General features: G+C 43.3%; 1 protein-coding gene across 21 annotated transcripts in view, besides 2 other annotated features; it reads right to left on the minus strand.

Annotated features, from left to right (window-relative positions):
- The window catches only part of ZNF717 (zinc finger protein 717), a 90,849-nt gene that overhangs the window by 63,314 nt on the left and 3,384 nt on the right, over positions 1-24,151 (minus strand). The window lies entirely within an intron of this gene.
- Positions 14,043-14,543: an enhancer, noted in NCBI's record as "H3K4me1 hESC enhancer chr3:75821208-75821708 (GRCh37/hg19 assembly coordinates)". NCBI's record gives its function as "activates a minimal SCP1, AML or CMV promoter by ChIP-STARR-seq in primed H9 embryonic stem cells {active_cell/tissue: H9 hESC(primed)}" and the evidence as "EXISTENCE:reporter gene assay evidence [ECO:0000049][PMID:30033119]".
- Positions 14,544-15,044: an enhancer, noted in NCBI's record as "H3K4me1 hESC enhancer chr3:75821709-75822209 (GRCh37/hg19 assembly coordinates)". NCBI's record gives its function as "activates a minimal SCP1, AML or CMV promoter by ChIP-STARR-seq in primed H9 embryonic stem cells {active_cell/tissue: H9 hESC(primed)}" and the evidence as "EXISTENCE:reporter gene assay evidence [ECO:0000049][PMID:30033119]".

Below are 24,151 nucleotides of genomic sequence, written 5' to 3' on the forward strand. Positions count from 1 at the left end.
GGCTGAGGCAGGAGAATTGCTTGAACTCGGGAGGCGCAGGTTTCAGTGAGCTGAGATCGTGTTGTCACTGCACTCCAGCCCAGGCAAGACTCCATCTCAAAAAAAAAAAAAAAAAAAAAAAAGAGAGAGAGATAAGTTGTCAAGATTATTCCAACCCTCACAGATGACACTGAGGGGTTCACGACTTCTGTGGAGGAAGTAACTGCAGATATAGTGGAAATAACAAGAGCACTAGAATCAGAGACAGAGCCTGAAGATATGGTGAGACTGCAGCAGCCTCGGGAGAAAACGTGAGTGGATGAGTTGCTTCCACAGATGAGCAAAGAAAGTAGTTTCTTGAGATGAAATCTACTCGTGGTGAAGACAGTGTAAACACTGTTGAGATGACAACAGATTTAGAATAAACTCAGTTGGTACAGCAGAAGGAGGGCTTGACAGGATTGAACCCAATGATTTACAATAATACATAAACTTAGTTGGTACAGCAGTACGAAGGCCTGACAGGATTGAATCCAATTTTGAAAGTTCTACTGTGGGTAAAAAGCTCTCAAACAACATCGTATGCTACAGATCATTCTTTTGTGAAAGGGAGAGTCAATTGACACAGCAAACTTCAATGTTGTATTATTTTAAGAAATTGCCACAGCTACCCCAACCCTCAGCAATCACCACCTTACATTAAGGCAAGACCCTCCATCAGCAAGAAGACTGCAACTTGGCCAGGTGCAGTGGTTCACCCCTGTCATCCCAACACTTTGGGAGGCCAAGGTGGGGGGATTGCTTGAGCCCAGGACGTCGAGGCAACATGGCAAAACACCATCTCTACAAAAAAAAAAAAATTAGCTGCACATGGTGGCACGCACCTGTAGTCCCAGCTAGTCAGGAGTCTGAGGTGGGGGTTTGATTGAGCAGGAGGTTGAGGCTGCAATTACTCCAGCCTGAGCCACAGAGTGAAATCCTATCACACACACAAAAAAAGATTGCAGCTTGCTGAAGGCTCAGATGACTGTTAGCACTTGTTAACAATAAAGTATTTGTAAACTAAGGTGTGTACACTTTGTAGACATATGCTGTTGCACACTTTATACAGCACAGTATAAACATACTTTTACATGCACTGGGAAACCAAAAGAAATTGTATAACTCACTTTATTGCAGTGGTCTGGAACCAAACCCACATATATCTCTGATGCATGGCCGTCCTGTATTGTACACTTAAAAAAAAAACTTAAGAGGGTATATTTTAGGTGAAATGGTCATCTAATTTTTTTTTTTTTTTGAGACGGAGTCTTGCTCTGTTGCCCAGGCCATAGTGCAGTGGCGTGATCTCGGCTCACTGCAAGCTCCACCTCCCGGGTTCACACCATTCTCCTGCCTCAACCTCCGGAGTAGCTGGAAGTACAGGCACCCGCCACAACGCCCCGCTAATTTTTTCTATTTTTAGTAGATACGGCATTTCACTGTGTTAGCCCGGATGGTCTCGATCTCCTGACATGATCTGCCTGCCTCAGCCTCCCAAAGTGCTGCGATTACAGGTGTGAGCCACCGCGCCCAGGCAATTTTTATTTTTTTGAGACAGAGTCTCACTCTGTCACCCAGGGAGGAGCGCAGTGGCACTATCTTGGCTCACTGCAACCTCTGCCTCCCAGGTTCAAGCAATTCTCCCGCCTCAGGCTCCTGAGTAGCTGGGACTACAGATGCATACTATCACACCTGGCTAATTTTTTGATTTTTAATAGAGATGGGATTTCACCATGTTGGCCAGGCTGGTCTCAAACTCCTGACCTCATGTGATCTGCCCACCTCAGCCTCCCAAAGTGCTGGGATTACAGGTGTAAGCCACTGTACCCGGCAATTTTTAAATATATATAATTAAAAATTAATGAAAAACAGGTATTTGCAGGTTTCCGTTTTGGTATAGGTTTATTTATCTTTATGTCAGGTTGCTGTGTCAATACACTTAGGAGATCATAGTTTCTAAATTGAAATACATACAAATATGTCTGAAATTTTTTCTTTCTTCTTTTTTTTTGAGACGGAGTCTCACTCTGTCACCCAGGCTGGAGTGCAGTGGTGCAATCTCAGCTCACTGCAACCTCCGCCTCCCAGATTCAAGTGATTGTCCTGCCTCAGCCTCCACGGTAGCTGGGATTACAGGCATCCGCCACCACACCTAGCTAACTTTTATATATTTTTTTTTTCTATTTTTAGTAAAGACAGGGTGTCACCATGTTGGCCAGGCTGGTCTCCAACTCCTGACCTCAGATGATCCGCCCGCCTCGGCCTCCCAAAGTGCTGGGATTGCAGGTGTGAGCCACTGTGCCTGGCCTGGAATTTTTTTCTAAAGTTTACATTTCTGAGTTAAGAATGCTTAAAATATTATAAAAACAGAAGCACAATTCATTATGTGTTTCATTAATCACCTTTATTAAAAACAACGCAATTATATTACAATAGGACAAAAAAATGTTTAGGCAAATGAAAACAAAATCATGACATACCCAAACTCAGGAGGAGGCAACAAAGGCAGTGCTAAAGGGAAGCTTACAGCTGCAGATGCTTAAATTAAAAAGAAGAAAGATCTCAAACCCATGCTAAAGGGAAGCTTACAGCTGCAGATGCTTAAATTGAAAAGAAGCGAGATCTCAAACCCATGCTAAAGGGAAGCTTATAGCTGCAGGTGCTTAAATTAAAAAGAAGAAAGATCTCAAATCAATAACCTAACATTACACCTGAAGGGAAAAAAAAACTAATGACAAACCAAGCAAAAGGAAGAAAATAACAGATTAGAGCAGAGATAAGCAGAATAAGACCAGAAAAAAGAAAGGAAAAAAAAACACTGAGTTTGTTTTTTTAAAGATCAATAAAAATTTTAAAACTCACAGCCATATTAAGAAAAAAAGAGAAATCTCAAATACTAAAATCATATATAAAAGAGGTGACAGTACAACAGATGCCACAGAAATGAAAAAGATTACAAGAGACTAATGTGAGCAAACCATATGCCACAAAACTGGGCAACTTAGAATAAATTTATAAATTCCTAGAAACACAAACCACCATACTGCATCATGGAGAAATAAAAAATCCAAAGAGACCTGTAACTAGTAAGAAGATTCAACCAGTAATCAAAAACCCCCCAAAAAAGAAAATTCCAGGTCCAGATAACTTCACTGGAGAATTTTACCAAACATTTCAAGAAGAATTAATGCCAATGCTCTGCAAAATATTCAAAAAATGTTCAAAAACCAGGAGGGGACATTCCAATCCATTCTATCAGGTCAACATTTATCTGGTTCCACAGCGGGATGAACACCTTTCATAATAAAAACACTCAAAGAATTAGTAATAGATGGAAACTCCTCAGTAAATAAAGATCGTACATGAAAAGCTCACAGCTAACATCATACTCAATGGTGAAAAACTAAGAACTTTTCCTCTAGGATCAGGAACAAGATAGCAACATCTCCTCCTGCCACTTCTATTCACCACAGTACTGGAATTTCTACTCAGAATAATTAGGCAAGAGAAAGAAATAAAAAGCATGCAAATTGGAAAGGGAGAAGTATAAAATTTTGTTCACAGACAACAGGATGTAATGTGTAAAAATCCTGAAATTCCACAAAATACTGGTAGAATAATGAAATTCAACAAAGTTTCAGGATACAGTAACACACACAAGTCAGTTGCATTTCTGTAAACTAACAATGAACAATCTGCAAATAAAATTTTAAAAACAGAGGCCAGGTGCAGTGGCTCACGCTTATAATCCCAGCACTTCGGGAGGCCAAGGCGGGTGGACCAACTGAGGTCAGGAGTTCGTGACCAGCTGGGCCAACCCCATCTCTAATATAAATAGTAAAACTCTGTCTCTATTAAAAATACAAAAATTAGCTGGGCATAGTGGCAGACACCTGTAGTCCCAGCTGCTTGGGAGGCTGAGGCAGGAGAATTGCTTGAACTTGGAAGGTGGAGGTTGCAGTCAGCTGAGATTGTGCCACTGCGCTCCAGCCTAGGAAACAGAGTGAGACGCCATCTCAAAAAAAAGAAAGAAAGGAAAGAAAGAGAGAGAAAGAAAAGAAAAAAAGAAAAGAAAGAAAAAGAAAACAAAAGAAAAGAAATTTTTAAAAAGAATGACATTTGGCCAGGTGTGGTGGCTCATGCCTGCAATCCCAGCACTATGGGAGGCCGAGGCAGGCAAATCACCTGAGGTCACAAGTTCAAGACTAGTCTGGTCAACATGGAGAAACCCTGTCTCTACTAAAAATACCAAAAAATTAGCTGGGCATGGTGGCGTGCACCTGTGATCCCAGCTACTTGAGAGGCTGAGGTTGGAGAATCGCTTGAATAAGGAAGGTGGAGGTTGCAGTGAGCTGAGACAGTGCCACTGCACTCCAGCCTGGGAGACAGAGCAAGACTCCATCTCAAAAAAAAAAAAAAAAAAAGAATTACATTTACAACAGCATTTTAAAAACTAGAAATTAGCTTAACCAAGAGGGCAAAAGATTTGAACACCAAAAACTACAAAACACTGTCGAAAGAAACTAAACACAAATCAATGAAAAGAAAAGCTGGGTTTGCAGATGAGATGATTTCATCTTGGAATGATGTCAACACTACTCGAAGTGACCTAGATTCAATACAATCCTTATAAGGATTCCAATGACATTTTTGATAAACAGAAAAACCCATCCTAAAACTCATATGGAATCTCCAGGGCCCATGAATAGGCAAATCAATCTTGAAACAGAACAAAATTAAAGGTCTCAAAACAATTACAAAACTGCAATAAGCCAAAAAAAAAATGTAGTCATGACATAAAGACACACGAGAAACTTATGGACCAACACAACAGATACCTCATAAACCAATCCTGGCATATATGGTCCAATGATCTTCCACAAGGATGCCAAGACCACTCAATGGTGAAGGACAGTTTCTTCAACAAATGGTGTTGGGAAAACTGTATATCCACATGCAAAACAATGAAGTTGGACTCTTACCTTACACCACGTTAAAATTAATTCAAAGTGAATTATAAACCTAAATGTGAAACTAGAATTATCAAACTCCTAGGCAAAACAAATTTGGAAAATGCTTTATGACAATGAATTTGTCAATAATTTTTAGGATATGACATTAAAAGCTCAGGCAGTAAAATCAAAAACATATCAAACCTAAAAGTTTCTATACCTCAAAGGTCACAACCAACAGGGTAAAAGGAAACTGTAGAGTAAAAGAAAATACCAGTTGAGCGTCCCTTATTTGAAATGCTTGGGATGTGTTTCAGATTTTGTAATATTTGCATTATTCTTACTGGTTGAGCATCTCAAATTCAAACACCTGAGTCTGAGATGCTCCAATAAGCATTTCCTTTGAGTGTCATGTTGGCATTCAAAAAGTTTCAGACTTTGGAGCATTTGGGATTTCAGATTTTTGGATCAGAGACATTCAACCTATAGCTGCACATCATGTATCTCATAAGAAGTGAACATCCAGAATACGTAAAGAACTCCTACAGAGAGACTACCAGAAGCAGAGAGGAGCAAACACATTTTCACACTGGGGCACCTCCTATCTCTCCTGGATTCCAATTAGGGCAGAGTAAGTGCTAGTTCTCTGCCAACCCAGGATTAGGCCCTGCAGCTGCAGTGAAAATAATCACAGAAGAAAACTAAGAAATAAAAAATGGAGAAAGTGAGACATCAAACTAAAATTACTAGAAACACCTAGGAAGAAGGAAAAAGAAACCAAGAAAACAGAAAAACAATCAAACCAGTTAATTAAACCTTGGAGTGACCAGAAGATCAGAGTTTCCTAAAGGAGTGGAAATTTACTGATTTGAAGAGGATTTATTGATTACTGATTTGAAGAGGAAGAAAAACCATTAATGGTCTAAAGCAACAGCCTAGTGCCTGAAGAAGTCAGTAGGGTGAAAACAAGAGCTGACCAGAATGTCCACAGATGGTGACAAGTTTGCAAAATCTTTACTAGACTACTCGTGAGGCTAACTAGAGGCCAAGGAGCCAACCCTGCCCCTGTCATTACAGAGAGACCCTACACAGGATTCCCAGATATAGATGGAAGGACAACATCTTATCAGGTCCTCTCTGTGCAGATGTGGTTGTTATTCCAAATAATGAGCTCCAGCCCCAAGCCTGCTCCATCCTCAATTGCTTTTGAGTGGCCAATGTGGGCTCTCTGCACACGAGCTACATGTAGGTTCCTTGGGTACCCAGATGGGAGCCGTGAAACACAAATCCTCCATGGTCAGTTCCGTATCTGTTTCCTGCCTTTTTCCCAGCAGTTCCCAGGCCTCAGTAGCAGTGGTCTACCTCTGCTGATTCTCATTCGGAATCTAAACTTAGAGACAATTAGAACCTGGACCCCAATTCTACCTGAAAGTAACAGAATAACATAATCTATACCATGCAGCATGACTGTTTGCCCAACGTAATGAGGATGAACTGTGATATAATGAATGATCATGACCCTGGCCCAACGTAACGAGAATGAACTGTGAGATAAATGATCATGACCAAAAAACCCCGCTACAACCCAACAACAAAATAAAGTGATTAAAAAGTGGACAAAGAACATTTATCCAAAGATGCAAAGATGATATACAAATAGCCAACAGATACATGAGATATATGAGAAGATGTGTAACATCACTAATCATTAGAGAAATGCAAATAGAAACCACAATGGGACATCACTTCAAACCCAACAGAAAGTAACAAGTGCAGGTGAAACTGAAACCCTTGTACACTGTTGGTGGAAATATGAACTGGCTCCTCAAAAAAAAAATAAAATGACCATATGATCCAGCCATCCAACTTCTACAGAGAGACAGAATAACTAGTAGCAGGACCTCAAACAGATATGTGCACACCTATGTTCACAGCAGCATTACACAGCCACAAGGTGGAAGAAACCAAAACGTCCATCCAGGAATGGACGGATAAACAAAAGGATATATATATATATATATATATATATATATATATATATATGTATATGTGTGTGTGTGTGTGTGTGTGTATATGTACAAAGAAATGTTATTCAGCCATAGAAAGGAAGAAAATCCTGACACATCTGACACATAACATGAAACCTACTTAACAAAACAACAAATATTATATAACCCCAGGTATATAAGCCAAATTTTTAGAAACACAAAGTAGAATAGTACTTGCCAGGAGGTGGAAGGAGGGGGAAATTAATAGTTGTTGAATGGGTATAGAGCTTTCCAAGATAAAAAAAAAATCTAGAAATCTGCTACACAACACTGTAAATATTCTTAACTCTATAAAACTGTATACTTACAACTGGTTATGATGGTAAATTTTAAGGTATGTGTTTGTCACCAAAATTCGAAATAATAAATTATTTATAAAAAATGATCTTTTTTGATACAGGGTCTTACTCTGTTGCCCTGGCAGGAGTGCAATGGCATGATCACAGCTCACTGCAGCCTCGACCTCCCAGGCTCAAGCAACCCTCCCACCTCAGCCTCCCGAATAGTTGGGACTACAGGTGCACACCACGATGTCAGGCTAATTTTTGGTTTGGTTTTTTTGTAGACAGGGTTTTGCCATGTTGCAGGCTGGTCTCCACCTCCTGGGCTCAAGCAATCCACCTCCCCTGGCTTCCCACAGAGCTGAGATTACGAGCATGAGCCACCATGCCCAGCCTATAAAAAATTATTTGAAAAAGCCAAAAGATTAACCGAACTGGAATATTTACAAATATTTAATTAACCCAAAAGAAGTTAGGAAAGAATATATAGAAGATCAAAAGACAGACGAAGGCCAGGCATGGTGGCTCATGCCTGTAATCCCAACACTTTGGGAGGCCAAGGTGCGTAGATTGCTTGAGCTCAGGAGTTCAAGACCAGCCTGTGCAAAATGGCAAAACCCTATCTCTACAAAAAATATAAAAATTAGCCAGGTATGGTGCCATGCACCTGTAGTCCCAGCTACTCAGGGGGCTGAAGTGAGGACTGGTTGGGCCTGGGAGGCAGAGGTTGCAGTGAGCCAAGATTGCACCATTGCACTACAGTCTGGGTGACAGAGCAAGACCCTGTCTTAAAAAAAAATAAACAAACAAATAGAAAATAAGTAGAAAAATGGCAGACCTAAATCCAACCTTAGTAATGATTAGTTACAATGTAACTGGACAAATACTCTACTTAAGACAGAGACTGCCAGACCTGAGAGGAAAGCAAGACCCACAATATGGCATCCACAGAGACACAATTTAAACACAAAGACACAAACAAACTATGAGAAAAAATATGCTATGCAGACACTAATCATAAAAAGATGGTATCCAGACACTAATCATAAAAAGCTTCAATGGAGATGTTAACACTAGATGAAAGAGGCTTCAAAACAAAATATATCACCAGAAATAAACAGGGTACTTTCATAAAAGTAAAAGAATCAGAGAGGATGATATTAAAATTATAAATTGTGCCTCAAAGTGCACACAAAGTACACACACACACAAAACCTCAAAGTACGTGAATCAAAAACAACAGAACGAAAGCAGGAAGTTGACAATCCACAATTATAGCTGGTGAATTAATACTGCTCTCTCAGTAACTGACGGAACAACCAAATAAAAAAATAGGGAAAATACAGATCTAAATGACAAAATCCTGACCCAAATGGTATTTATGAAGCACACAGTTGAGCACTACCAAGACAGACTGTATGTCCATCTATTGAGAAAAGGTTCAAGCCTGAAATAGTATGCAAAGTATGTTGTCTCAACACTTGAAATTAAATTAGAAACCAACAACAAATAGATATCCAGAAAAGCCTCAAATGTCTGAAAACCAAGTAATAAACTTTGAAACACCCTGTGAGTCAAAAAAAGTATTCACAAGGGGAACTGGAATGTATTTGGAACAAACTTGTTATAAAAATCACATTTCTGGTAGACTAAAGGTGACAACTTCTTTCCTGCTCCTCTCTCTGTGAGAACCAATTCCCCTGAACCTTGCCCAGACTACTGACTTATTTGGCCAACAGAAGGTGACAAAGGTGGTATTTGGGGACTTCAGAAGCCAGGCTGAGAGAACGGAACACTTATCCAGGAGAAAGCCAGTCACCAGGCAGGAAATCCCACTTCCCTGAGACCCCCATGATGGAAACCATACGGCCAGTCCACGACTAGCTACACTCATTGACAGCCCCCACTGAGCCTCCAGCAACACCCACTCCCAACAACTAGTGAGCCACCCTGCACACCACACCGCTGTGCTTTCAAACAATCCAGCTCGGCTGCTGCCCTGCTGCAACTATGTGTGAGATGAGCTGGCCAACAAGACTCTCTAAGCCAAAAAACAAGTAATAATGAGTTGTTTTAAGCTGCCAAGTTTTGGGGATGGTTTCTTCAGAATAGATAACTGGAACAGAATATGGCAGCTGGAAATGAGCCGCTGTGGTAATCAGAAGCTACAACATGTGCCACAACTGTGAGGCTGAGCTGTAACTGGGCCTCAAGGAGACCATTCATGCAAGCTGGAAGGGCATCAAGACTCTTGGTGAGGGCCTGAAGGACAGTGAGAAAATGTCATTGGAAACTGGAGAAAAGGCCTGGGAGTTACGTGCTGAGGGACTGTGGGAAAACTACAGCCACAATACGGAAACTGAAAGGGCACTGCACCATCTCAGGGATCTGCCTAAGGAGACATCTGAGAAGAATGTGGAAAGTGCTACCAGCCTCCCCTAACTGTCACTGAATAAATATGACAGGAGAGGGACATGATCTAAAGAAGGAGGTTCAGTTTTCAGACAGAATTTAGAGAAAATATAAAGAAATAATTTATTGTCTCAAAAGGCCAAAGTAAAAAAAAAAAGGAAAGAAAACAAAAGGAAAAAAAATGAAAAAGAAGCCACTCTATTGACCATAAGAAAAAGGCAGAGAAAGTTGGTCAACGGCAACCCAGGCACTGAAGGAAAAAGAACATGGAGAATGACAAGAGCCCAGAGGGAGGAGTAAAAAGGCACAAACGCCATTCTCAGGGACCAGGACTGAGCGTCATTCTCAGGGACCAGGACTGGGCACTAATCAGAGACCTGCAACAGGTGCCCCATGGGAATGACCAACCGTTAGACAGGGCCTGCAGGGCAGCACCTACCTCCTGCCTTCCACCAACCCCATCTAAAGAGAAATGCTGACTGTTTTCACACCAGTCCCCTCACTGCGGCTGAGTGTGTGGGTGCAGATGACAGGCCACCACAACCTGATTCAGTCCTCACTGTGGCTGAGTGTGTCGGGGGGCAGATGACAGGCCACCACAACCTGATTCAGTCCTCACTGTGGCTGAGTGTGGGGGGGGGGGGTAGATGACAGCCCACCACAACCTGATTCAGTCCTCACTGAGGCTGAGTGTGTCGGGGGGCAGATGACAGGCCACCACAACCTCATTCAGTTCTCACTGTGGTTGAGTGTGTGCGGGGGCAGATGACAGGCCACCACAACCTCATTCAGTCCTCACTGCGGCTGAGTGTGTGGGGGGGTAGATGACAGACCACCACAACCTCATTCAGTCCTCACTGCGGCTGAGTGTGGGAGGGGGGTAGATGACAGCCCACCACAACCTGATTCAGTCCTCACTGCAGCTGAGTGTGTCGGGGGGCAGATGACAGGCCACCACACCCTCATTCAGTCCTCACTGCGGCTGAGTGTGTGGGGGGTAGATGACAGGCCACCACAACCTGATTCAGTCCTCACTGTGGCTGAGTGTGTGGGGGGACAGATGACAGGCCACCACAACCTCATTAAGTTCTGTCACTGAGTGTGTGGGGGGACAGATGACAGGCCACCACAACCTGATTCAGTCCTCACTGTGGCTGAGTGTGTGGGTGAAGATGACAGGCCACCACAATCACAACCTGATTCAGGATTCAGATGGGCTCCAGCCAGTGCCATAAGGAAAACCATTCTGGGGCTCTTGAGAGGGGCAAAGCATAATTTGCATGTGGGAGAAATGTTAATAGTTTGTGGCCAGAGGACAAGCTGTGGTTTATTAGACTGCTGCAGGTTCCTACTATGCTTCTCATCAAAAGGGGGAATCTAATCACCTTCCCCCCTTGAATCGTGGCTGGTCTCAGTGATGAGTATGACTGGACAGTGTGACAGGAGAAATGCTCTGGGACTTCTGAGGGGCGATCATGAGAGGCCTTACAGCTTCTGCCTGGGCCTCTTGGACACACACCCTGGGAGAAGCCAGACAAACCTGACTACCTGACGATGCCAGACTGGGAGGAAGTCTGTGCTGGCCACAAAGAGAGGGCTGGGTGCCTACTCCACGTCCCCAGCCACTAGAGTCCTTCTGGGTGCCTGCTCCACGTCCCCAGCCACTAGAGTCCTTCCAGATGAGACCAGAGACATCATGAAGCAGCCAACCCACACCACCCTGTCCAGTGTCTTGACCCAGAAAATTGTGATATGTAAAAGGATAAATTCCTGGTTTAAGCCAGCAAGGTTACTGGTATGTTGTTACATCACAGATAATTAAAACGTTGAAAAACTCATGAGAGATCACAAGTAGAACCTTGATCTGAAACATGGCATGTGGAGATTTATATTGAGTATTAGGTTAAAAATGCAAGAATGGAGCATAGTTAATATTTTACGTTAAAGCTAAAACTACAATTGCCTACTTAAAATTTTCAGTTAATTAGGTTGTCACTTTTTGTTCTTAACCAAGAAATCAACTAGTTTTAGTCCATAAACACTTAGAACTGATGCACACATCCGTTTTTCCTTACTCATTTTAAGCGGCTATCTGAAATAGGAAGTGTAATATAACCTTTAAAGAATCTGAAAACATGACAGAAATGTTTAAACTATAAACATATATTGTATATGTTAGCATATTGTATACATTGCATATTAACATAAGCTAGAATCATTGACATAAATTTATATAAACAAGAGGTAGAAAATATGACAATGTGCTTCTTGGTTTTTGTCTTTGCATATTTCTTTATTGGCCCTTGTCAAACGTGTCCCACTAACTCCTGAATGCTTTCTCTCTCCCCATGGATTCCTAAGGATGTCATCACAGTGCTGGCCAGATGCACAGGTCACAGGGGACTGAACCTCACCACCCCACAAACACCCCCTTCAGGTTTTGCCAAGAATGACACTGTAAATGTAACAAAGCTTCTGTGCTTGTTAGTGAACACCAACTCAGCTCTTCTCCTGTATTCAGAAATCAGGATGAAATGAAAACAAGAAGCAGGCCGGGCACGGTGGCTCACGCCTGCAATCCCAGCACTTTGGGAGGCCGAGGCGGGCAGATCACCTGAGGTCGGGAGTTCGAGACCACCCTGATCAAAACAGAGAAACCCCATCTCTACTAAAAATACAAAATTAGCTGGGCGTGGTGGCACATGCCTGTAATACCAGCTACTCAGGAGACTGAGGCAGGAGAATTGCTTGAACCTGGGAGGTGGAGGCTGCGGTGAGCCAAGATTGCACCACTGCACTCCAGCATGGGCAACAAGAGCGAAACTCTGTCTCAAAAGAAAAAAAAATTGAAAATAAAAGAACAACCAAACAAAAGTAACAGGGCTTGACACCAGATGAGCCTGAATCTAAGCAAGAAAAGCCCAGAAGAAATCCCATTTTGGGTCACTGGCTGCATGGTAGTAATACCATACACATAAGGGAAGAGAGGACGATGTGGCTTTCACTTTGAATTTTTTGAGCTTAAGGTAACTTTTAGATAGCAACAAAGAAGCATTCAACAGAGAGTTAAACCTATGATGGAAAGACTAAAGAGGTCTAAGCTGTAGAGAAACAGGACTGCAAACCACAAAGGGCTGAATCAGTCAAGGAGAACTGCAGGGCGGGATGAACAGGGACCAACAGAACATTTGGATAAGCTGTTGAGAAGAAAGGAGAATTCAGAGAAAAAGAACTGTCAGTGAGGTCATAATAGGAACTGTCACAGTGAACTAAATATGGCCTGGGAAGGACTCTGTAATTCTAGATTTGAGTCCCTGTGGACAAACTGCAACCTAACTTAATAGGTAGAAAGACTGAAAACCTAACTTAAGAGTATGTGCCTGTAACAACAGCTGAGTCCTGGCCAATCCCAACAGCCAAACTTCTGCCACTCACACACTGCTGAGTGTTCAGCTGTGTTCAAATAAGGCAAATGCTAAGCACTGTAACCAGTCCAGTTGTTTCTGGACCTCACTGCTGAGAACTGTAATGGACCCAGTTGCTTCTGGACCTCACTCCTCACTTCAGATTTCTGTACATCACATTCCCTTTATTGTCTATAAATCTTCCACCATGTAGCTGTGCTGGAGTCTCACTGAATCTGCTGTGATTCTGGGGGCTGCCTGACTCCTGAATCATTCATTGCTCAATTAAGCTCCTTTAAATTTAATTCAGCTGAAGATTTTCTTTTAATAGTTGGTGTCAGAAGTGGGATCTGCCAGAGCAGGACTGCTAGGGCCTCCGGAGCGATAGTGTGGTGAGCAGGGTTGCTAGGGCTTCTAATGACCCCCAGGAGTGCTGAGGTACAAGCAAGGCACCTGCAAGGACCCCTTTGTGATGTCAGCAGGCGCCCAAGTGGAGCAGTCGCTACGGAGACACTGGCTGCAGTGGGGAGGAGTGGCTGGGGCTGTGCGCTCCTCGAAGCTGGTGGGAGCCAGGAACGGGTGGGAGCCCTGCCCCTTCTAAATTGGCAGGCAGGAGCCCCACCCTCCCAGGCACAGCTGCAGCCATCCAGCCATGACTGCAGACCCGGGCATCTCTGCACTCTCAGAGGCCCAGCAAGCCCCCCTGCCCCTGCAGGCTCAGTCATACCTGGTCCTGCCACCTGGTGTCTCTCTGCTCCCAGAGCCCACTCCAAATTTGGATCCAAGTTGAGGCCAAACCCAGGCACAGTCGCAACCCGGCCCGGTGTGTGCAAGCTCAGGGCAGTGCTGACATGCCAGCCCCCTGTCACCTCGCCCCCCTCCAGACTTTGGGCACTGACGAGCACAGGAGGGAGGTTGAGGTGGGGCTAAGGATGGCTCAGCACTGGCCTGCAGGCACTCCTCAGCTCAAACAGCCTGGGCACTGTGGGCACAGCTACCCACCATGGGTCTCCTCTCAGCTGCTGAGAGCTGAACAGACATTGGGATGACCTGACTGCAGAAAGGAGCTACCCCCTGCAGGTCTCCTCTGAGCTGTACTGTTGCTCAATAAAGCACCTCTTCACCTTGTCACCTTCTACTTGCCCACGTACCTCATTCTTCCTGGATGCAGGAGAAGAACTCGGGACCTGCCAACCAGCAGCGCTGAAAGAGGTGTAACATAAACAGGGCTGAAACGTGCCCCTTGCTTGCCAAATTGCAGGCAAGAAGGAGAGAAGAGCTGTGGCCCTTCAGGGAACCCAGACTTAGGAGCTCCCCAAGCCAGGGCTATGACACCTTCTTTGGGGCTCTGCAGTTCCTGCATCTCCAAGCTTCTGGGCACCACTGCATTCCCTGATACCCACAGTGGAAGCTGTCTGCAGTCAGCCTGGTCCAGCTGCAGCCTCACAGGAAGCTGGCACCTGTGCCAGTGCCTGGAGCTGCCCACCCCACCACAGCTGGCATGCTTGGCTGTGTGCAGTGGCCAGATCCCATGCTCGCTTGCTCACACACCCCTCACTGCTCTGTACCCAGCTCGCCCTTGGCAGGCGTGGGATCCAGACAACTAGCATGAGCCGAGTGGACAGAACGAACCCAGTGGGCCTGAGCAAAACACAGGTAAAGGCGGCACCAGCCAGAGGTTTCAGGCAGAAAAGTGACACCCCAGGATTCAGTAACACTTGTGCCCTTTGACCTCTCAGAGCAGCTGGGGATTGTGGTAAATTCTCTCTCGGATTTCAGACCTCCATGGATTTGTGTTTTGAGCTGAGTTTCTTTGAGCAAATTTCTGTTCCAAATAGGCTTTAGAAGTTATAACAGAAACGGGACTGGGTCCAGGATCAGATTTGATCCAGTAGTTAACTGGCTTGAATCCAGTTCCAGTTAGAGGCCTCCTACATCTGATTGGGTCAGAAGGAAAGTGGAGTAAATGATAATATTGGAACGGTTGTAAAATTTGGCTTTTGAAAATTCACAGGGATTTTTGTGTTCTACCCCATTGTTTCATTTTTCTCGCATGCTTAGGTAGGAAAAAAAAAATCATTGGCTAAGTTAATCAAGGGAACCTAGGAGTAAAGCCAATATTTTAGGTAAAAATAGGATCCTTAATTTCTGGAAAACTAAGTTCCTTCTGGCTAATACGTTAGGCCTGGGAAGCAGCAAAGTCTTACAGAAACGGCAAAATCTTACTAAAGATAACTTACAGTGGAACATTCCAAATGAATAATGCCCTGAAGTGCATTTAAAAATGAGGGCTCCCAAATTAGTCTCATCTAGGGATGCCTATTAATATGCAGAAGCTTCTAAAAAGATTTAGAGATGGCACGGCCCATCTGGGAGCAAGTTTGAGTCTTACCAGTTTGATACTGGGTGCCAAGCAAAGTGGCTCATATCTGTTTTGTCACATGTATTTTGCTCTGGACAGAATGAAAAATGTTAATTTGGTTACTCCAAGCAACCCCTTGAACAGCATCTTGCAAAGCTGAGTGGATTCTTCCTGTGGTTCCATGATTTTCCATTGTGATGCAGCTTGGCCCCCAGAGCTATAATGTGGTGAGGAGGGCGACAGAGCAAGACGCTATCTTTAACAAAAAAAAATGGCCAGGCGCAGTGGCTTACACCTGTAATCCCAACACTTGGGGAGGCTGAGGCAGGTGGATCACCTGAGGTCAGGAGTTCAGGGCCAGCCTGACCAACAAGGAAAAACCCCATCTCTACTAAAAACACAAAATTAGCTGGGCATGGTGGTGCATGCCTCTAATCCCAGCTACTCAGGAGGCTGGGGCAGGAGAATCTCTTGAACCCAGGAGGCAGGGGGTTGCAGTGAACCAAGATCACACCATTGCACTCCAGCCTGGGCAACAAGAGGGAAAATCCATCTCAAAAAAAAATAATAATAATAGATTTGTCTATAAGGTTTTATGAAAAATTGGGTGACATTTGGCTTTCTCTCTTTAAAGAAGATTTTCAGGTAATATTAAAAAATAATGAAAAATTTGTTTCCCTTGTAAATAAACTACCAAAAAAAAAAAAAAGGAAAAACAAGAGGCAGATTGTTTGGGAAGGTAAGTCTTCCCTCTATCAATGAGTAAAGATTTTTGCCCTTTAAAAATTTTTTAAGTCATGATTTTAGGTAAATGAATGACTTACGGTGACCTGGAATTCTATTTCATAACATCAAGTGTTTAAACCTTTAATATATTTAATAGGCTTCCCAAAATCAAATTTCAACTTCAAAACTGTCTTCTCTGACCTCTAACTTTGGGATGCTACAGAGGCCCCTGAAACACCCAAAAGAGAGGTAAACAGGACTATTTGACATGTTAAGTCACGTGGGAAGCACTGTCAAAATAAAAAATAATGTTGAACCTTCTTCAGGTTATATTTAGTGTATGTCATCAATCCATTCTAAAATTGTATAGAATTTCTAAAATTCTTGTGGTTTTTTTTTTTTTTTTTTTTTTTTTTCTGAGACAGAGTCTTGCTCTGTCACCCAGGCTGGAGTACAGTGGTGCGATCTCGGCTCACTGCAAGCTCCGCCTCCCGGGTTCACACCATTTTCCTGCCTCAGCCTCCCAAGTAGCTGGGACTACAGGTGCCCACCACCACGCCTGGCTAATTTTTGTATTTTTAGTAGAGACGGGGTTTCGCCGTGTTAGCCAGGATGGTCTTGATCTCCTGACCTCGTGATCCGTCCATCTCGGCCTCCCAAAGTGCTGGGATTACAGGCGTGAGCCACTGCACCTGGCCAGGATTTCTAAAATTCTAATATGTCTATATGCTATCTATCATAATTACCTGTTTTGTTTTGAGACAGAGTTTCGCTCTTGTCACCCAGGCTGGAGTGCAATGGTGTGATTGAGGCTCACTGAAGCCTCCACCTCCTGGGTTCAAGCGATTCTCCTGCCTCAGCCTCACAAGTAGCTGGGATTACAGACACCTGCCACCACACCAGGCTAATTTTTTTTTATTTTTAATAGGGACAGGATTTTACCATGTTGGCCAGGCTGGTCTCAAACTCCTGACCTCAGGTGATCCACCTACCTTGGCCTCCCAAACAGCTGGGATTACAGGCATGAGCCACCACATCCACCCTAATTATGGTTATTAAGTTATTGTAGACCACACAAATAACCAAATTTCCTTGTCAATTGTCTTTAACTATAACTATTTAAAGTCATTTCCACAGTTAATTGCTTAATGGTGATGCAGTTTCTAAAAACTTCACAAGCATGCAAAATTCTAGAATATGGTGTCTCTTAGAAGATTCATGAAAGAATGAAAAGGACCCTGAAAAACACTCGTGAGCACAGGTTTCTAATAACTTGAATATCATGGGTAAATATTCCCCATAAGTTCCCCGATTCCCCAAGAATTGGACTGGTTAAGAATTCCCAAAAGTTATGCTGGGCACAGTGGCTCACGTCTGCAATCCCAGCACTTTGGGAGGCTGAGGCCAGTGGATCACTTCAGGTCAGGAGTTTGAGACCAGCCTGGCCAATGGTGAAACCCCGCCTCTACTAAAAATACAAAAATTAGCCGGGTGTGGTGGTGTGCGCCTGTAATCCCAGCTACTCGGGAGGCTGAGGAGGAGAATCGCTTGAACGCAGGAGGCAGAGGTTGCAGTGAGCCAAGATCGTGCCACTGCACTACAGCCTAGGTAACAGAGTGAGACTCTGTCTCAAAAAAAAAAAAAAAAAAATTCCCAAAAGTTTAATAAAAAGACCAACTGGTTTATAAAACTGCTAACCCAAGTAAAACAAAAATTGAATACCAAGGAAATATTTTGCCAGATTTGCATGCTAAATCACCAATACTGAAATTGTTTAGACATATAATTTAAATAAACTCCATGGTCTAAGTCAAATTACCTATAACTCTTCAGTTACCAGTGCCATGCACCTAATTTGGAGAAACAGCTGGTATTCAAGAGGATGTAAGTCTAATGTTAATTAAGCACGGACTTATGAAGAACCAGGATGGCCGCCTTGTCCTTCTTAAGTCCTTAAAGCTTCTGTTATTAAAAGTTTTGCATTCCATAACTCATCATGGAAAAGAGAAAATGATCCAAATTAAATATATTGGTGTGGTGATTTCTAAATTGCTAAAATAGTTTATAACCAATGTTTGGTTTGTCAAACCTATATTCCTAGGAAAACAATCAAAACTTCAGGTACATTTGGTTACCTGATGGGCCATTTAAACATTTTATAAAGGGATTTCATTCAGTTTTCATTTTCAGTGCATGTTTTCTGATTGTATAAAAGCTCTTCCATGCAAGAGGGTTGATGTTAAAACAGTAGATTATTATGCTGAAGTGTATTTTCACCAGCTAAAGAAAGCCTTTTATGGTTCACTGAGGACAGCGAACCCCTTCACAATCTAGAATCTGATGACTGGATCTTCTGAGAACATCAAAGAAGGACTGCCCTTGCCATCCACATGACAGCAAAACTTTAAAACCATAAACTTTGGGTTCATAGTCTCACAATTCAGAAGGGTCCCTCCACACTCAGAACCGTATACCCATTGGAACCCTTAAGGTAAAGCTAACAAGGACAGTTTCTCCCCCAGAAGAAGATGGCATCCTTAATGTGAACAGCTTTTACCAAGATCACAGTTCGAGGCTTCTCTACTATCATGAGACTCTTAAGTATCTGTGCAGCTGCTAACACTTATGGCATATGGAGAAAACATGGGGTATTATAAAGATTTGGTTGTAGGGAATTAACAAAAAACCGACTTAGTTAAGCAAGTAAACTCTTTATCTAACTCATTCTTTAATCTATTTGATTTTAGGTGGTTTGATTTACAGGGACCCTGAGTAAGGAGCATATGCCAAATTCTTGGTGATATCCCAGTAGTCGTAAGAGTCTCCCTGGTGCACTGTACTTCCTCAAATGTTTTAAGAGTTTGCATGCAGCCATCTCTAAAATGTCAAATGGTATCTCTTCAACTGGAATGACAAGAAATTAAGAAAAAATGTGCAACTATAAGGACACTGTAACCTATGAGTGACATGCTAAACCGGAAACCCAAAACAATGGGAGTGACATGCTAAACCAGAAACCCAAAACAATGGGAGTGACGTGCTAAACCAAAAACCCAAAACAATGGGAGTGACATGCTAAAACCGGAACCCAAAACAATGGCAGTGACGTGCTAAAACCAGAAACCAAAAACAAATGGGAGTGACGTGCTAAAACCAGAAACAAAAAACAATGGGAGTGATGTGCTAAAACCGGAACCCAAAACAATGGGAGTGACCTACTAAACCAGAAACCCAAAACAATGGGAGTGATGTGCTAAAACTGGAACCCAAAACAATGGGAGTGATGTGCTAAAACTGGAACCCAAAACAATGGGAGTGATGGGCTAAAACCTGAACCCAAAACAATGGGAGTAATCTGCTAAACTAGAAACCCAAAACAATGGGAGTGATTTGCTAAAACCGGAACCCAAAAAAATGGGAGTGATATGCTAAAACCGGAACCCAAAACAATGGGAGTGACTTGCAAAAACCAGAACCCAAAATAATGGGAGTGACGTGCTAAACCAGAAACCCAAAACAATGGGAGTGACGTGCTAAAACCGGAACCCAAAACAATGGGAGTGACATGCTAAAACCGGAACCCAAAACAATGGGAGTGTCATGCTAAACCAGAAACCCAAAACAATGGGAGTGATGTGCTAAAACTGGAACCCAAAACAATGGGAGTGACGTGTTAAAACGGAACCCAAAACAATGCGAGTGACATGCTAAAACTGGAAACCAAAACAATGGGAGTGACGTGCTAAAACCGGAAACCAAAAAAAATGGGAGTGACTTGCTAAAACCGGAAACCAAAAACAATGGGAGTGATGTGCTAAAACCAGAACCCAAAACAATGGGAGTGTCCTGCTAAACCAGATACCCAAAACAATGGGAGTGACGTGCTAAAACCGGAACCCAAAACAATGTGACTGATGTGCAAAAACCAGAACCCAAAACAATGGGAGTGACCTGCTAAACTAGAAACCCAAAACAATGGGAGTGACGTGCTAAAACTGGAACCCAAAACAATGGAGCTGACGTGCTAAAACCGGAACCCAAAACAATGGGAGTGACATGCTAAAACTGGAACCCAAAACAATGGGAGTGATCTGCTAAAACCGGAACCCAAAACAATGGGAGTGACGTGCTAAACCAGAAACCCAAAACAATGGGAGTGATCTGCTAAAACCGGAACCCAAAACAATGGGAGTGATGTGCTAAAACCGGAACCCAAAACAATGGGAGTGATGTGCTAGACCAGAAACCCAAAACAGTGGGAGTGACATGCTAAAACCGGAACGCAAAACAATGGCAGTGACGTGCTAAACCAGAAACCCAAAACAGTGGGAGTGACATGCTAAAACCGGAAAACAAAACAATGGGAGTGACCTGCCAAAACCAGAAACCAAAAACAATGGGAGTGACTTGCTAAAACCAGAACCCAAAACAATGGGAGTGACGTGCTAAACCAAAAACCCAAAACAATGGGAGTGACGTGCTAAAACCGGAACCCAAAACAATGTGAGTGATGTGCAAAACCCGTAAACCAAAACAATGGGAGTGTCATGCTAAACCAGAAACCCAAAACAATGGGAGTGATATGCTAAAACCGGAACCCAAAATAATGGGAGTGAGGTGCTAAAACCGGAACCCAAAACAATGGGAGTGATGCGCAAAAACCGGAACCCAAAACAATGGGAGTGCTGTGCTAAAACCGGAACCCAAAACAATGGGAGTGAGGTGCTAAAACCGGAACCCAAAACAATGGGAGTGCTGTGCTAAAACCGGAACCCAAAACAATGGGAGTGAGGTGCTAAAACCGGAACCCAAAACAATGGGAGTGATGCGCAAAAACCGGAACCCAAAACAATGGGAGTGACCTGCTAAACTAGGAACCCAAAACAATGGGATTGACGTGCTAAAACCAGAACACAAAACAATGGGAGTGACGTGCGAAAACCGGAACCCAAAACAATGGGAGTGATGTGCTAAAACTGGAACCCAAAACAATGGGAGTGATCTGCTAAAACCAGAAACCCAAAATAATGGGAGTGATGTGCTAAAACCGGAACCCAAAACAATGGGAGTGATCTGCTAAAACCAGAAACCTAAAACAATGGGAGTGACGTGCTAAAACTGGAACCCAAAACAATGGGAGTGATGTGCTAAACCAGAAACCCAAAACAATGGGAGTGATGTGCTAAAACCGGAACCCAAAACAATGGGAGTGATGTGCTAAAACCGGAACCCAAAACAAAGGGAGTGATGTGCTAAACTAGAAACCCAAAACAATGGGAGTGACGTGCAAAAACCAGAACCCAAAACAATGGGAGTGTCCTGCTAAACCAGAAACCCAAAACAACGGGAGTGACGTGCTAAAACCGCAACCCAAAACACTGGGAGAGATGTGCTAAACAGGAACCCAAAACAATGGGAGTGACGTGCTAAAACCAGAACCCAAAACAATGGGAGAGTCGTGCTAAACCAGGATCCAAAGCAATGGGAGTGACGTGCTAAAACCGGAACCCAAAACCATGGGAGTGTCGTGCTAAACCAGAAACCCAAAACAATGGGAGTGATGTGCTAAAACCGGAACCCAAAACCATGGGAGTGTCGTGCTAAACCAGAAACCCAAAACAATGGGAGTGATGTGCTAAAACCGGAACCCAAAACAATGGGAGTGTCCTGCTAAACCAGAAACCCAAAACAACGGGAGTGATGTGCTAAAACTGGAACCCAAAACAATGGGAGAGATGTGCTAAACAGGAACCCAAAACAATGGGAGTGACTTGCTAAAACCAGAACCCAAAACAATGGGAGAGACGTGCTAAACCAGAACCCAAAGCAATGGGAGTGACGTGCTAAGCCAGAAACCCAAAACAATGGGAGTGACGTGCTAAGCCAGAAACCCAAAACAATGGGAGTGACGTGCTAAAACTGGAACCCAAAACAATGGAGCTGACGTGCTAAAACTGGAACCCAAAACAATGGGAGTGACGTGCTAAAACCGGAACCCAAAACAATGGGAGTGACGTGCTAAACCCAGAAACCCAAAAAATGGGAGTCACGTGCTAAAACTGGAACCCAAAACAATGGGAGTGATGTGCTAAACCGGAAACCTAAAACAATGGTAACTAACAGTAGTGCTAAGGCCCTACATTTTGGTCACACTCTCAACTAAGTGAGAACTTGACTAAAAAGGAGGAATTATTTTTTTTCTGAGATAGAGTCTTGCTCTGTCCCCCAGAGTGGAGTGCAGTGGCAAGATCTTGGCTCATTGCAAGTTCCGCCTCCCGGGTTCAGGCCATTCTGCCTCAGCCTCCCAAGTAGCTGGGACTACAGGTGCCCACCACCACGCTCGGCTAATTTTTGTATTTTTAGTAGAGACGGGGTTTCACCGTATTAGCCAGGATGGTCTCAATCTCCTGACCTTGTGATCCACCCACCTCGGCCTCCCAAAGTGCTGGGATTACAGGTGTGAGCCACCACGCCCAGCCAAAAGGAGGAATTTTTTAAGCAAAATTATGCGAGGCCATTGTTTTAAACTAAGCTCATGCAATAGGTCCCAACAGACCAAACCAAACCAAAATGGAGTTACTCATGCTAAATGTAACATAATCAAACTAAGACTTTAAGGAAACACATAAATCCTAGAACAAACCAGGTTTTGTTTTTCTCCTGTAAACAGGACGTTCCAGCATAAGAAGGTACCTTCTACTCAAGTCCTTGGTCCACCTTTTCAAAACTCACTGGTCTATTTCCCAGTGGGTTTCTAAAGCAAGTAAGTACATTTGCAATGGTAATAGTGACACCAGTGACTGAAGTTTTGGCCAATCTCTCAAAATTGAGAAAATAACCAAAGGGAAGGAATTGTTAAAGTGAACTAAGTATGGCCTGAGAAGGACTCCATAATTCTATATATGAGTCCTTGTGGATGAACTGCAACCTACCTTAATAGGTAGACAAGAATGAAAACCTAACTTGAGAGTATGCACCTGGAACAACAGCTGCGTCTTGGCCAATCCCAGTGGCCAAACTTCAACCACTCAGGCACTGCCAAGTGTTCAAACTGTGTTCAAACAAGGCAAATGCTGAGTTGTTTCTGTACCTCACTTCTGATTTCGGTATGCCACTTCCCTTTTGTCTATAAATCTTCTTCCACCAAATGACTGTGCTGGAGTCTCTGTGAATCTGCTGTGTTTCTGGGGACTCTCCGATTCATGAATCGTTTATTGCTCAACTAAACTCCTTTAAAGTTTTTCTTTTAACAGAACTAACACAGAAGAATTTCCAGATCATGAACAGACATTTTGTAATACCCAAAGTTGTGTTAACATGAATAGACTCGTCCTTAGATACCTAACCTTGTTTTTAATATGAATAGACTCTCCCTTAGCTGAGAAAACCGGACAAACTCCATTTGGCTCCTTCATTTATAAGACATCAAGGGCTCCTTACCCACTCCCTTTCCTCAAGGACTTTAACTTGTGCAAGCTGACTTTCAACATATCAAAGACTGCAATTAACTGATAAAGCGCTGAGGCAAGTGATGTCTGCAGTTCCCAGCAATTTACTCAGAGATAGTATCATAAAGCCCGCACATTTGTCCGGCAGCTAACGCCCAGAGCCCCCTCACCTATCACTTTGTGGTGAATTTAAAGCCCCTGCACCTGGAACAGTTTGTTTTCCTGTAACCATCTGTCGTTTTAACTTTTTTGTCTGTTTTTTCTTCTGTAAGGTTGCTGCAGCTAGAATCCCCCCTCCCCTCTCTAAACCAAAGTATAAAAGAAAAGCTAGCCCCTTATCCGGGGCCGAGAGAATTTCGTGCGTTAGCCATCTCTCAGTCGCTGGCTAATAAAGGACTCCTGAACTCGTCTCAAAGTGTGGCGTTTCTCTCTAACTCGCTCGGATACGACAGTTTCAACTATGGTAGAAGACTCGAGTAAGGCAATCACAGTCCCCC

The sequence above is a fragment of the Homo sapiens genome, chromosome 3 (genome assembly GCF_000001405.40).
Source record: "Homo sapiens chromosome 3, GRCh38.p14 Primary Assembly".
Taxonomy (NCBI): domain Eukaryota; kingdom Metazoa; phylum Chordata; class Mammalia; order Primates; family Hominidae; genus Homo; species Homo sapiens.